The sequence below is a fragment of the Homo sapiens genome, chromosome 3 (genome assembly GCF_000001405.40).
Source record: "Homo sapiens chromosome 3, GRCh38.p14 Primary Assembly".
Classification (NCBI taxonomy): Eukaryota; Metazoa; Chordata; class Mammalia; order Primates; family Hominidae; genus Homo; species Homo sapiens.
In genome coordinates this window covers 47,809,094-47,822,846 of record NC_000003.12, presented here as the reverse complement: position 1 = coordinate 47,822,846, position 13,753 = coordinate 47,809,094, and the positions used below count along the sequence as shown (strand labels likewise).

At 47.0% G+C, this 13,753-nt stretch overlaps 1 protein-coding gene across 10 annotated transcripts in view, besides 2 other annotated features; it reads right to left on the bottom strand.

Annotated features, from left to right (window-relative positions):
- Nucleotides 1-13,753, bottom strand: part of DHX30 (DExH-box helicase 30) — a 47,056-nt gene that overhangs the window by 27,347 nt on the left and 5,956 nt on the right. For 2 of the 10 annotated variants that reach the window (NM_138615.3, XM_011533494.4), the window contains exons 3-4: nt 12,136-12,190; nt 4,730-4,825 (exon numbers count right to left, since the gene is read on the bottom strand). In NM_138615.3, coding sequence (NP_619520.1) covers nt 4,730-4,825; nt 12,136-12,163 — 124 coding nt within the window. In that variant the 5' untranslated portion in view covers nt 12,164-12,190. Of the gene's footprint in view, nt 1-615; nt 751-3,582; nt 3,612-4,729; nt 4,826-5,909; nt 6,885-12,135; nt 12,191-13,753 lie in introns of those variants that run through there. The other 8 variants (XM_047447727.1, XM_024453405.2, NM_001330990.2 and 5 more) reach the window with 7 other exon arrangements.
- Nucleotides 542-742: a silencer, noted in NCBI's record as "peak4635 fragment used in MPRA reporter construct". NCBI's record gives its function as "represses an SCP1 promoter by STARR-seq MPRAs in K562 erythroleukemia cells {active_cell/tissue: K562}" and the evidence as "EXISTENCE:reporter gene assay evidence [ECO:0000049][PMID:32103011]".
- Nucleotides 4,765-5,265: an enhancer, noted in NCBI's record as "H3K4me1 hESC enhancer chr3:47859072-47859572 (GRCh37/hg19 assembly coordinates)". NCBI's record gives its function as "activates a minimal SCP1, AML or CMV promoter by ChIP-STARR-seq in primed H9 embryonic stem cells {active_cell/tissue: H9 hESC(primed)}" and the evidence as "EXISTENCE:reporter gene assay evidence [ECO:0000049][PMID:30033119]".

Below are 13,753 nucleotides of genomic sequence, written 5' to 3'. Positions count from 1 at the left end.
GCTGGGATTACGGGCGTGGGCCACTGCGCCTGGCCTTTCTTATTTTTTATGTTTATTTTTTTGAGACAGAGTCTTGTTCTGTCACCCAGGCTGGAATGCACTGGCACGATCTCGGCTCACTGCAACCTCTGCCTCCTGGGTTCAAGCGATTCTCCTGTCTCAGTCTCCCAAGCAGCTGGTACTACAGGTACGTGCCACCATGCCCAGCTAATTTTTGTATTTTTAGTAGAGACAGGGTTTCACCATATTGGCCAGGCTGGTCTTGAACTCCTGACCTCATGATCCACCCACCTCGGCCTCCCAAAGTGCTGGGATTACAGGCATGAGTTAACACACCCGGCTGGGAAAACCCCTTTCACTTGGTTCTGTCTTTCTCTCTTGTCTGCCACCATGTAAGATGTGCCTTTTGCCTTTCACCATGGTTGTGAGGCCTCTCCAGCCACATAGAACTGTGAATCCATTAAACCTTTTTTTCTTTATAAATTACCCAGTCTTGGGTATGTCTTTATCAGCAGCATGAAAATGGACTAATGCAGTCCCCTTTTCCTATTCATTTATTTCAACTGGGTTCTAACAGCAAGAGTCACCCTGAGCAAGTATTTCACCTCCACAAACCTCAATGACTCTTGTAAGATAAGGGCAACTCTTTACAGCAGCTCTTGGAACTCTTCTGCTTCTGTGTTCTTCTCCTCACTGGTCTAGAGCAGGAGTTGGAAAACTACAGCCTGCAGACCAAATCCAGACCCCTGCCTGTTGTTAGAAAGTTTTATTGGAACAGAGCCACACTCATTTACTATGTTATTTGCTATTATCTATGACTGCTTTCATTCTATAATGGCAGAGTCAAATAACTGCAACAGAAAGCATATGCCCCACACAGCGTAAAATATTTATTACCTGATGATTACAAAAAAAAGATTACCAACTCCTCCTCTAAAGGACCTTAAAGACCAGGTACGGTGGCTCATGCCTGTCATCCCAGCACTTTGGGAGGCCGAGGAGGGTGGATCACCTGAGGTCAGGAGTTCAAGGCCAGCCTGGCCAGTGTGGTGAAACTCCATCTCTACTAAAAATACAGAAATTAGCTCTGGGCATGGTGGCAGGTGCCTGTAATCCCAGCTACTCAAGAGGCCGAGGCAGGAGAATGGCTCAAACCCAGGAGGGAGGTTGCAGTGAGCCGACATTGCGCCATTGCACTCCAGCCTGGACAACAGAGTGAGACTCCATCTCAATCAATCAATCAATCAGTAAAGGACCTTAAAGAAAGTTAGAAAAAAGGGCTGGGCACGGTGGCTCATGCCTGTAATCCCAACACTTTGGGAGGCCGAAGCGGGCAGATTGCCTGAGGTCAGGAGTTTGAGACCAGCCTGACCAACATGGAGAAACCCCATCTCTACTAAAAAAATACAAAAAATTAGCCAGGCATAGTGGCACATGCCTGTATTCCCCGGTACTCGGGGGGCTGGGGCAAGAGAATCACTTGAACCCAGGAGGCGGAGGTTGCGGTGAGCCAAGATCGCACCATTGCACTCCCACCTGGGCAACAAGAGCGAAACTCCATCAAAAAAAGAAAAAAGAAAGTTAGGAAAAAGGCCAGGCATGGTGGCTCATGCCTGTAATCCCAGCACTTTGGGAGGCTGAGGCAGGCAAATCACTTGAGCCCAGGAGTTGGAGACCAGCCTGGGCAAAATGGTGAAACCCCGTCTCTACTGAAAATACAAAAAAATCAGCTGGGCATGCTGGTGCATGCCTGTAGTTCCGGTTACCAGGGAGGCTGAGGCACAAGAATCACATGAATCCAGGAGGCAGAGGTTGCAGTGAGCCGACATCATGCCACCACATTCCAGCCTGGGTGACAGAGTGAGACTCCATCTCATAAATAAATAAATAAATAAATAAAAATAGAAAGAAGAAATAAAACAAAGGCAAAAAAAAAAAAAGAGAGAGCCTTACGCATGCACCCCTTTCTTTACACCAACATTAAGCCTTCTCCGTATTCTTGGAGGAGAGAAAGTTGATTCCTTTCCCTGTGAAAAAGGAGGGAAGTTCTGAAAAAAGAAAGCATTTACTGGCTCAGCAATCTCTCTATCCACTTCTGGATCGGGGATGACATCTGGTACTACATGTGCTAAACAACTACATCTAGCAGCACAGAATTAAGGCGTAAAGGATCTGCTGAATACACGGGAGAATGCTTTAGGAACCTATACTTTGGAGGCCCCAGAAAAAGGCAACAAGAGGAAGTCCAAGATAGTTCAGGCTTTGGGGCAGAGCAGAGAACTTCCGCAGGGACAGTGGAAGGGACCACCAACACCTAAAGAAACCAGGAGTCTCAGCCTATATTTTGGCAACTTACCCAACCATATATACATATATTACACGTGGTCAAAATGGCAAGAAAGGATCCACTTGGCTGGCAAGGAGACGGGTAAGAGGAGCTACAGGAGCCAGGTGGGCACCCGACTGCCCTACCAGGTCATCCGTCCTCATGGCTTCCCCTTCCACATAAGCCGCAGGTCTCTTTTTTTTTTTTGAGATGGAGTCTCGCTCTGTTGCCCAGGCTATAGTGTAGTGGTGCGATCTCAGCTCACTGCAACCCCCGCCTCCTGCGTTCAAGCAATTCTCCTGCCTCAGCCTCCCAAGTAGCTGGGATTACAGGCATGCACCACCACACCCAGCTAATTTTTTGTATGTTTAGTAGAGATGGGGTTTCACCATGTTGGCCAGGCTGGTCTCAAACTCCTGGCCTCAGATGATCCACCCACCTTGGCCTCCCAAAATGCTGGGATTACAGGCGTAAGCCACCATGCCCGGCCAGCCACAAGTCTCTTGACGTAAACCACCACATCAAGAAGAGGGCACACATCTATTTGAGGCAATGGACAGGAAAGATCAGTTTTGTGGCCCCCAAGATCCTGCCAGAAGTGTCATCCCATGGTGCTGTGTCTCAAATCTGAGTAGGTGGGGCCGAGTGACAGGGGACAGCCAGAGGTGAGTTTCTTGATGTACTCACCCTTTACCCTGGAAGGAAGCCTTGGGAAGACATTGGCAGTGGAGGAAGGGGGGTCAAGGAGGTAGGGAGGTGATCATTTTTTTTCAGTTCCAAATCTGATTCTGCTGAGTACTGTGATCAATATAAATGGCCACCATTTTCGGTGCACTGTTTTCCTTATATAAACACCAGAGAGACTGTTGCTGCAACACATCTCCTTAAGGGCAGGAGCACCAGTGAAGCCTCTAGGGAGCTAGAAAGCACAGGGGAGAGGCCTGATCGCTATCCGCAGGCCAAGAGGGGCTGTTGCTTCTAGCTGAGAGAGAGAAGGCAAAATGCACACACCCACGGATGCCTCCTGGAGGCGCAGCTGTGAGGAGAGACCACCAGGCTCAGGGGTCTGCACTCCTCTGGGGAAGAGAGCACAGCACTTGTGGGGCTGCCCCAGAGGCAGCAACTGCCCATCCTGCGATCAGTGTTCTCCTCCGCGTGTGCTCAAGAAGGCACTGCCTAGCCAACTGCCTGGTTAACCCCGACTAACCGTCTTCAAGCTTAGCCAAAGCACATCTGACACTCTCAGAGCCACTCACCTGCCATGTTGGAAATGTTAACGTTCAGCCTTTTCGAGTTACAGGGCATTTTAAGAAAGAAAAAAAAAAGGGCAATCAACTCTTGTTTTGGTAACGGTAGGGGGGTGGCATTTCTTTAAAACCTAAGTCAAATGGTCAGGGGGCTAGAAGTACTCATTTCTATCCTGCTGTCAGTAGTCAGGGCCGCAGCAGCAGGAGTGTGAAAACTGCCTGGGACGCAGCAGCAGCATGGGCTGCAGAAACTGAGGTGCTCTGTGTTCCCCACACTCCTCCTGAGCTCTTGACCTTCAAAGCACTTTACAGACAGACCCTAGAGTAGACATGCTGTCTCTAGATGAGACAATGACCCTATGACCTAAAACAGGGCTCCTTCTGCTAGGCAGAGGGGTGTGAACAGGCAGCCTATGGGGCAGAAAAGAGCAGCTATTAGGACAAAAAGGCTTCCAGGAGCACTGGCCTTAGCAGGCCTGGAAAAGGTATATTAATAAGTCTGAGGGAGAAGAGGAGGCGCTCATGTGCAGCGATGCTTCCCTGGGTCCTATCCCTGGCGCCATCCCTGGGTACTGATAGGGCCTGAGGTAAGCTGCCACTTACCTGGTGCTCTAACATTCTCCCCAATCAAAAGGACAGCCTACCTTGCCAAGTGGACTGAGAGGCACATTTTAATGTCAGTAAAGTGCTTTGAGGTGCCACATGGGAGACAGGAAAGTGATCTGTGTGTATTCCCAAAGCCTCCAAGATGGAAAGCACTAGGGTTGAGTCAGGGCTATCTGTTCCAGCCCTGCTACAAGCACCCTGCTCTCTGAGCCACCTGATCAGGGACTTCTAGGAGCCTCGAGGCCCCAAGCCCTGCGGATTCTCCATGCGGGTGCTGAGAGAACCACCCAAACTGAGCCTAGGCTTTAGTCCAGGCCACACAAGGAGGCCCAAGAAGACTGCAGGGTCCAGGCCATGAGTCAAGGGATCATGAAAAAATCCAGACTTTTCCAAGTAATTTCTCCCTCAGGGCTCCAATAGCTCTGCTAATCCCACCCTTCCTCACTCACTTTCTGGAGGGCTGTGGCCCTGGCACCAGGGCTCCCATTGCCACCCACCTCCCCACAGACCCTGGACCAAGCTGTTGCTGGAGGCAAGGCTCCTCCCTTACCTCGAGAGATGGTCCCTCCTGGGGTAGGGTTGACACACATGGGTGGAAGGCGGGGTGGGGGAAGTTTGCACTGACGCTGCCTGTGCTGGGCCCGATCTGGGGAAAGAGAGAGGGCATCAGGGCGACATGTTCTCACCCCTCACAGTCACAGACCCCTGAACTGACTCACTCAGAGCATCCGTGAGGAGCTCTGGGCAACAGGGCTGCTGGACAGTGCTGGGAGCAGCCACAGGTTCTGAGGAACAGCACTAACAACGCCACACAGGAAGAAGGCAAGCGTCTCATATGATGTGATATGTGACAGCCTTAGAGAGAGCCCTCAAACTCTTCCTGTTCCCTTAGCTACCCCCTATGAGGTTAACACCCATCCTATATACTTCTCTTAGTCTTAAGTTGTGAGGATGTGACAGGACAACAGGAGAAAGCTGAAAGCCTTGGTACTACATCAACTCAAAAGCACCACGTGTCTGCTTCTTATGGTAGCTACCTACGCCTTTGCTATGCGTTCCCCAGATGGCTACCTCAGCCACCAAATCTCAAATCATTCTTTCCCTCCAAGAGCTGGGTAAGAGAGGGACGACTGGACTATGTGGGTCCAGCTTGAGAGCTAAAACCAGACGCACACTTACCAGCCTTCTCCCTCTTTCTAAAAGAGAACAACCTGCCATTCCAAATACTTCCATTCATTTGGGGGCTAAATGCTACTTATTAGTAACCAGAAAGTACATTTCTAAGAAGTCCCAACAACTTGAGGTACATGAACGAAAATTAAGGCACTGAGTCTTCCACGGGAAGGTGGAAATACATGGGTAAGGAAGGTGGAAATATATGGGTAAGGAAGGCTTAAGGTCCTTTTAAACCACCTAAATGGTGACATTCAGAGAGTCACTAGTCTTGGGGCTGGGAGAAATGCATGCACTCTTTGCTCTCTTTGCCCCTCTGGTTTCAGTACAGTAAATGGGGTAGAAGGGGAGCAGAGATGGCCACACACACCTGAAGCTTGAGAAACCACCTGTTCTACAAAGATGTTCATTTGTGGAATGCAAATTGACTCATATACAATTGGTAAAGAGGAGAAAGATATCAGTAAAACAAGACTCTTGTTTCAAAAAATTCTGAAAGCAAAGGAGCTGAAAAAGCAGGAGTAGAATTATAATCTTCAGCAGGAAAGAAAAAGCCCTTTCAGCTATTTTTTTTTTTATTAAAATTGAGTGCCTATACCTATAGAGAATCAAGGTGGTAGATACAAAGGTGTTCACTATACAATTTCTTCAATGTTTCAGTATTTTTGAAATTTTTCACAACAAAATGTTAGGGGAGAAGCAAGTCCTGCACTCCAACCCTCCTCCCCCACAGTCCCAGCTGCACACACTCCTTCACCACAGTGGCTGTTTCAGAACTCCACCTCCACCTGGGCTTCCTCGGTAACTGCCAGCTCTGCTCACATTAGAAGGCTCTTTGTAGCCCGGCGCGGTGGCTCACGCCTATAATCCCAGCACTTTGGGAGGCTGAGGCCAGCGGATCACAAGGTCAAGAGATCGAGACCATCCTGGCCAACATGGTGAAACCCCGTCTCTACTAAAAATACAAAAATTGGCAGGGCATGGTGGCGTGTGCCTGTAGTCCCAGCTACTCAGGAGGCTGAGGCACGAGAATGACTTGAACCCGGGAGGCGGAGGATGCAGTGAGCCGAGATCGCGCCATTGCACTCCAGCCTGGCCACAGAACAAGACTCCGTCTTAAAAAAAAAAAAAAAAAAAAGAAGACGGCTCTTTGTACATTTGCAGCATCACATCACCCTGAGCTGCCTGTCTAGGTAGTCCAAAGCATCTTCCCAAGCACCAATAATTGTTTTTTGTCATATTTTGGTCAAAAAGTTGCAGTTGCATTGGCCCAATTCTATTTTTCCCATAAGCTCTCTTATAATATTATAGATGTGTGATTTTTTTCTTTTTATTTTATAGGTATGTGATTTTACAGAAAACATACATAGAGTTACAGCAGACGTGCTTGTAGGATCTTCTAGAACTAAATGCCTAGGATCAAGGTTTATTTTGAAACTAATTCCAGTTCTGCCTTGAAGCTAAGGTTGGAAATGACCAGCTCAACCTCTCCATTCCTGTTTAAGGAGGGTCCTCATTCACATCCAGGGATGCTGGATTGAAAAAAAAAAAAAAAGAATAAATGATTCAATGATTAGTTATTATCTCATTAAGCATTTTCAGCAATTGGGAGAGAGTTGTTACAATCCCATAACTTCACTGAGCCCACTTCTGACCATGTACCTGGAGAGAAAATGCACATTCTTGCTATTGATCCAGTGTTTTTCAAAGTTTTGTGCTGGCTGTGAAAGACTCAGCTTGCTCTTTTTTTTTTTTTTTTTTTTTTTTTTTTGCTCTTTTTTATTGTTCAGCTTGCTCTTTGTAGCCTGAGTCCGATGGCATTACAGGTAAGAAATCAGACAGCTAAGTTAAGATGCTCGCAAGGGCAGTAACAAGTAACTTACCAGGAACATGGGCATTCTTACCAACAGCTTTGTTAAATTACATAATGAGAAAGATGGTAGCTAGCCACAAGACCCAGTGGGCCACCATCCACAATGCTGCATGGAATTGCTATAGCTGTTTCCATCAGAACCATCAAATGGCCCATCCTATTGAGGCTATAAGCTCCAGAGTACCAAGAAGCATCTCTGAAACAGAGCTCTCTTCACCCTAGTGTCTCCTACACAGCAGGTGCTCAATCATGCAACCTCACAGCACACTGCATGCTGAGGCAAGGCTATAGCTCTCCAGTATTTATCAAGGGCATACCATGCCCAAGAGTAAGGGTTGAGCACCGACCATAGCCAGGTGCTTTTCCTATATTTCAGCTCTAATATCTTCACTGTAGTCCTGAAGATAGCAGGTAGGAAACAAGATCAGGTAAGTTAACACCTTGCTAGTATTAGGGAAAGCCAGATTCAAGCCCCAGTCAATGAAACTCGGGAACCTCAAGCTTCACATCAACTTACATTTCCTCTCAAGGTTCATGACACCCTAGGAACTCATAATTTGATGATGAAGAGCAAAGAAACATGTAAAAGGAAAACTCAAGCCAAGCACAGTGGCTCACACCTGTAGTCCCAACACTTTGGGAGGCCAAGGCAGGAGGATTACATGAAGCCAGGAGTTTGAGAACAGCCTGGGAAACATAGGAAGACCCTGTTTCCACCAAAAAAAAAAAAATTATTTTTTTAATTATTTTATTTCTTAAAAAAATACAGAACAAAACAAAACAAAACTAACTAACAAAAAACGGCCGGGCGTGGTGGTTCACACCTGTAATCCCAACACTTTAGGAGGCCAAGGCGGGTGGATCATGAGGTCAGGAGACTGAGGCCATCCTGGCTAACATGGTGAAACCCCATCTCCACTAAAAATACAAAAAATTAGCCAGGCGTGGTGGCTGGCGCCTGTAGTCCCAGCTACTCGGGAGGCTGAGGCAGAAAAATGGCATGAATCTGGGAGGTGGAGCTTGCTAAAAATACAGAGAGACAGGGTCTCCCAATGCTGTCCAGGCTGCTCTCAAACTCCTGGCTCAAACAATCTTTTTGTCTTAGCCTCCCAAAGTGCTGGGATTACAAGCATGAGACACGGCGCTCAGACAGGAAAAAAAAATTTTTTTTTCTTTTTTTTTTTTTTTTTTTGTTTTGAGACAGAGTCTCGCTCTGTCACCCAGGCTAGAGTGCAGTGGTGTGATCTCAGCTCACTGCCACCTCTGCCTCCTGGGTTCAAGCGATTTGCTGCCTCAGCCTCCCAAGTAGCTGGGATTACCATGCCCGGCTGATTTTTATTTTTATTTTTATTTTTTTTTAGTAGAGACGGGGTTTCACCATGTTGGCCAGGCTGGTCTCGAACTCCTGATGTCAAGTAGTCCACCCACCTTAGCCTCCCAAAGTGCTGGGATTACAGGCCTGAGCCACCGCGCTCAGCTGAGGATCGTGATTTTTATTGGGCTTTCCATCTCTTTACAAAATCAGTACTATTAATTCAGAGACACTCACCATGAGAAAACCTGCTTTCATCGACCTTTTACAAGTGGGTAGACAATAAAGCCCACTGGTTAGTAAGTAAACACAAAGTGCTAATTTTAGCTAAAAAAAAAAAATGTGCTGCCCACACTAATCTCAAGTTCAGTTTTTTCCTTCTTACATACAGCTGGCCAAAAAAAAAAAAAAAAAAAAAGCCCAGGATGACAGAAATAAATTTTTTCAAACAATATGAAAACAGATGGAGTGGCTGGAGATACACAAGGAGGCAGGGACATGCTGCTCTCTGAGCCCTAGTACGTCCAGCCCTCCTTCTGGCCCCATTCAATGGGTTACACAGGGCACCACTTGGCCAGGGGTTTCCCAGGCCTCGAGGAACACAACTTAGAGAGAGAGAAGACACAATCAGGAAGACCTATTTAATCAGCAGTTATAGACGTTCTGTTATGGTTCTTATTTATTTGTAAAATATCCTCAGACAGAAGCCTCAGAATCAGCTTCAACACGGGCTACAGGCCCTTTACTCTTCAGTCTCTTGAAGAAAAAAAGTCATGTTCTAAGAAATACAAAGCTCTCAGGATCTGGCCCCTAAAGTCCCCACAGGCTACTTTACCTCCTATAAACACATTGTGAACTCTACCCTATAGCCCTGTCAAGGCTCAATTCTGCCATTGCCTATGCAACCCCCTCACTCAGTGTGCTGTAGAGCACTAATTTCAAGACTTGCCAGAATTTCTTTTTGTTTTTTGAGATGGAGTCTCGCTGTTTCGCCCAGGCCAGACAGTGGCGCGATCTCGGCTCACTGCAAGCTCCGCCCCCTGGGTTCACACCATTCTCCTGCCTCAGCCTCCCGAGTAGCTGGGACTATAGGCACCCACCACCGCACCCGGCTAATTTTTTATTTTGTATTTTTAGTAGAGACGGGGTTTCACCATATTGGCCAGGATGGTCTCAATCTCCTGACCTCGTGATCCGCCTGCCTCGGCCTCCCAAAGTGCTGGGATTACAGGCGTGAGCCACCGCGCCCGGCAAGACTTGCCAGAGTTTCTATGATCACTAACGAAAGAATGACTTTGATATAGTGTGGATATTTGTCCCTACCCAAATCTCATGTTGAAATGTAATCTCCTGCTGGTGGCTCACGCCTGTAATCCCAACACTTTGGGAGGCCGAGATGGGCGAAATCACTTGAGCTCAGGAGTTACAGACCAGCCTGGCCAATATGGCGAAATCCCATCTCTACTAAAAATACAAGAATTACCCGGGTGTGGTGGCACACGCCTGTAGTCCCAGCTACTCGGGAGGCTGAGGCAGGAGAATTGCTTGAACCCGGGAGGCAGAGGTTGCAGTGAGCCAAGCTCGTGCCACTGCACTCCAGCCTGGGCAACAACAGAGTGAGACTCCGTCTCAAAAAAAAAAAAAAAGGAAATGTAATCTCTGCTGTTGAAGGGTCACAGAATGGATCCCTCATGGCTTGCTACTATCCTTGTGATAGTGAGTAAATTCTCATGAAATCTTTTTTTTTTTTTTGAGATGGATTCTTGCCCTGTCGCCCAGGCTGGAGTGCAGTGGCACAATCTTGACTCACTACAACCTGCACCTCCTGGGTTCAAGCAATTCTCGTGCCTTAGCCTCCCAAGTAGCTGGGAATACAGGTGCACACCACCACGCCTAGCTAATTTTCTGTATTTTTAGTAGAGACGGGTCTCATCATGTTGGCCAGGCTGGTCTCAAATGCCTGACCTCAAGTGATCCGCCCACTTTGGCCTCCCAAAGTGCTGGGATTACAGGTGTGAGCCACTGCGCCCAGCCTCTCATGAGATCCTGTTGTTTATTTTATTTATTTATTTATTTATTTTTGAGATGGCATCTCACTCTTGTTGCCCAGGCTGGAGTGCAATGGCACGATCTCAGCTCACTGCAACCCGTCTCCCAGGTTCAAGCGATTCTCCTGCCTCAGCCTCCCAAGTAGCTGGGATTACAGGTGCCCACCACCACACATGGCCTTTTTTTTTTTTTTTTTTGAGACTGAGTCTTGCTCTGTTGCCCAGGCTGGAGTGCAGTGGTGTAATCTCGGCTCACTGCAACCTCTGCCTCCCGGGTTAAAGCTATTCTCCTGCCTCAGCCTCCCAAGTAGCTGGGACTATAGGCGCAGACTGCCACGCCTGGATAATTTTTTGTATTTTAGTAGAGATGGGGTTTCACTGTGTTGTCCAGGCTGGTCTGGAACTCCTGAGCTCAGGCAATCCGTCCACCTTGGCCTCCCAAAGTGCTGGGATTACAGGCGTGAGCCATCATGCCCAGCCAATCTTGTTTAAATTGTGTGGCACCTCCCCAACTCTCTCTCTCTGGATCCTGATTTTTGCCACGTGACACGCCTGCTCCCGCTTCACCTTCTGCCCCTGAGTGAAAGCTCCCTGAGTCCTCCCCAGAAGCCAAACAGATGCCAGCACCATGTTTCCTATACACCCTGCAGAAATGTGAGCCAATTAAACCTCTTTTCTTATAAATTACCCAGTCTCAGGTATTTTTTTATACCAATGCAAGAACAGCCTAATACAGACTCAATCCAACTTCCACCAGTGTTTACTGAGGCCTACTATGTGCGAAATGCTGGCCAGGTGCTATGCATCGTAAAAGCACACAACAGGCCCTGGCTACAGGGAGCTTCCAATCTAGTGACAAAATGATTAATTCAGAATAGACTAACCATGAGAACGAACAGGTATGGTACCGAGGAAGATTGGAGAAAGATTGCATTTGGTCAACAGAATTAGGAAAGGTTCATGAAGGAGATGGTATAAAATACTAGCCTAGAAAAATAGGATTTTAGAGGCCAGCCACGGTGGCTCACACCTGTAATCCCAGCACTTTGGGAGGCCGAGGTGGGTGGATCACTTGAGGTCAACAGTTTGAGACCAGCCTGGCCAACATGGTGAAACCCCGTCTCAACTAAAAAAAAAAAAAAGAATTAGCCGAGCTTGGCAGCTGGTTCCTGTAATCCCAGCTACTACGGAGGCTGAGGCAGGAGAATTGCTTCAACCCAGGAGGAGGAGATTGCACTGAGCCGAGATCGTGCCACTGCACTCCAGCCTGGGCGACAGAAGTGAGGCTCCATCTCAGAAAAAAAAAAAAGGATTTTAATAAGCAGGGAGTACGCAGAAGGGGGCACTGGGAGGAAGCATGGCAAAGGCCATGGCAAGGGTTGGCACAGATTCTAAGCACCATGCAAAAGGAAGGCTATAGGAAAGGCCTTTGGAAAACCACCCAAAGAAATGTGCAAGAACTACATACTGGGGAGAGACTTTCACAGCCCTCAGAGCTGCCCATCCCAATAAGGAAGGGCATGAGGTCACAAGCACAGTTGCAGTCTTACCTTTTCTGAATGAGTCCAGGCTGAACATTTCTGGCCAGGAGGGAAAGCTGGAATCCTGAGAACAAGGAGGGCCAAGAGGCAATGGTTAATATTCCTGGTCCAGCAACCCACAAAGAAGACTTCAGTAACATGGAGAGCACTGTTCAGAAAATGAAAAAAATGAAACTCTTCACTAATGAGCCCCAACTGCTGCTCCCCAGTCTTGAGGACTGGAAGGCCAGCTCCACTCTAGAGTAATTGTCTTTGCTTCTTTCTAATTGAGCACTTTCTTCCCTGTCCTAAAACTCCCCATATCCTGTTAAACAGAGGGAGATGCATTTCATCATGAGAGACATGTAGTTCTATCTAGTTCATCATAATACTTACAGGTTTCCTTCCCAGTTCATCATAATACTTGCAGGTTTCCTTCCTAGTTATCATAATACTTGCAGGTTTCCTTGGGACTTCCAGGAAGAAACGAAATTCTACATGGACCCCTTCTGTCATGTGGCATCAGGAAACAGGACTGATGACTGCCTTATGGGCAAACTGCCTTACTGGGCTTTCATAAAACCTAGTCAAGACCCTAAAAATGAGATTTGACTGACAGGATCAAAGAATAACTGTACAGTGATTCAGAATAAAAAGCTTTTCATAGCAGTCTCTATGAAATAACAAATATTAAGTTAAAGCACAACTATTAGCCAAAAGTTTTGGTGCATTTTGCTTATTAGTATATTTAACTGAGGACTATACTTAGAGATGACAAGAAAAAAAAGCAACACATCTGGTTTAACAATTTTGTTTTAAAAAATACTCAAACTCAGATTTATAGATGTTTTTATAATCCAGTACTCCTTGATTAGTGCAGTAACCTTAAATGGACTTTGTTTAAAAACATCTACACAGTGTTTAGCCAATCAGAATCATGTCCAACATTGATTGGAGTCTACTGGGGCCAACACTCCGGCTCCTGACTCCTGTTCCCTCTCATTCTCAAATTGTGGGGAGGTGGGGAGTGGAGGGCTGACCTGGGGCGGAATCTTTCAGGTCCATAGCAGGTCTGCCCTGATGGCCTCCACTCCCCAAGGGATGCTGGAAATTTCAGCCCATAGGATATGGTATATCACAGAGAAAACTTCAATACAATATCAACAATGATAACATTTACTTTAAGAAGTTACATTCCGGCCAGGCGCGGTGGCTCACGCCTGTAATCCCAGCACTTTGGGAGGCCGAGGTGGGCGGATCACGAGGTCAGGAGATCGAGACCATCCTTGCTAACACGGTGAAACCCCGTCTCTACTAAAAAAATACAAAAAAATGAGCCAGGCATGGTTGTGCGGGCCTGTAGTCCCAGCTACTCAGGAGGCTGAGGCAGGAGAATGGCGTGAACCCAGGAGGCAGAGCTTGCAGTGAGCCAAGATTGTGCCACTGCACTCCAGCCTGGGCGACAGAGTGAGACTCCGTCTCAAAAAAAAAAAAAAAAAAAAAAAAAGAAGTTACATTCCATAGACACCTTCTATCCAAATGAAAATAAAAAGTGTGTAATTTGACATTCTAATTTAAAAGAAAACCAGAATATTATAAAATCTAAAACATTTTAAGTGAATATTACTTAAAAAACAATACTCCCTGA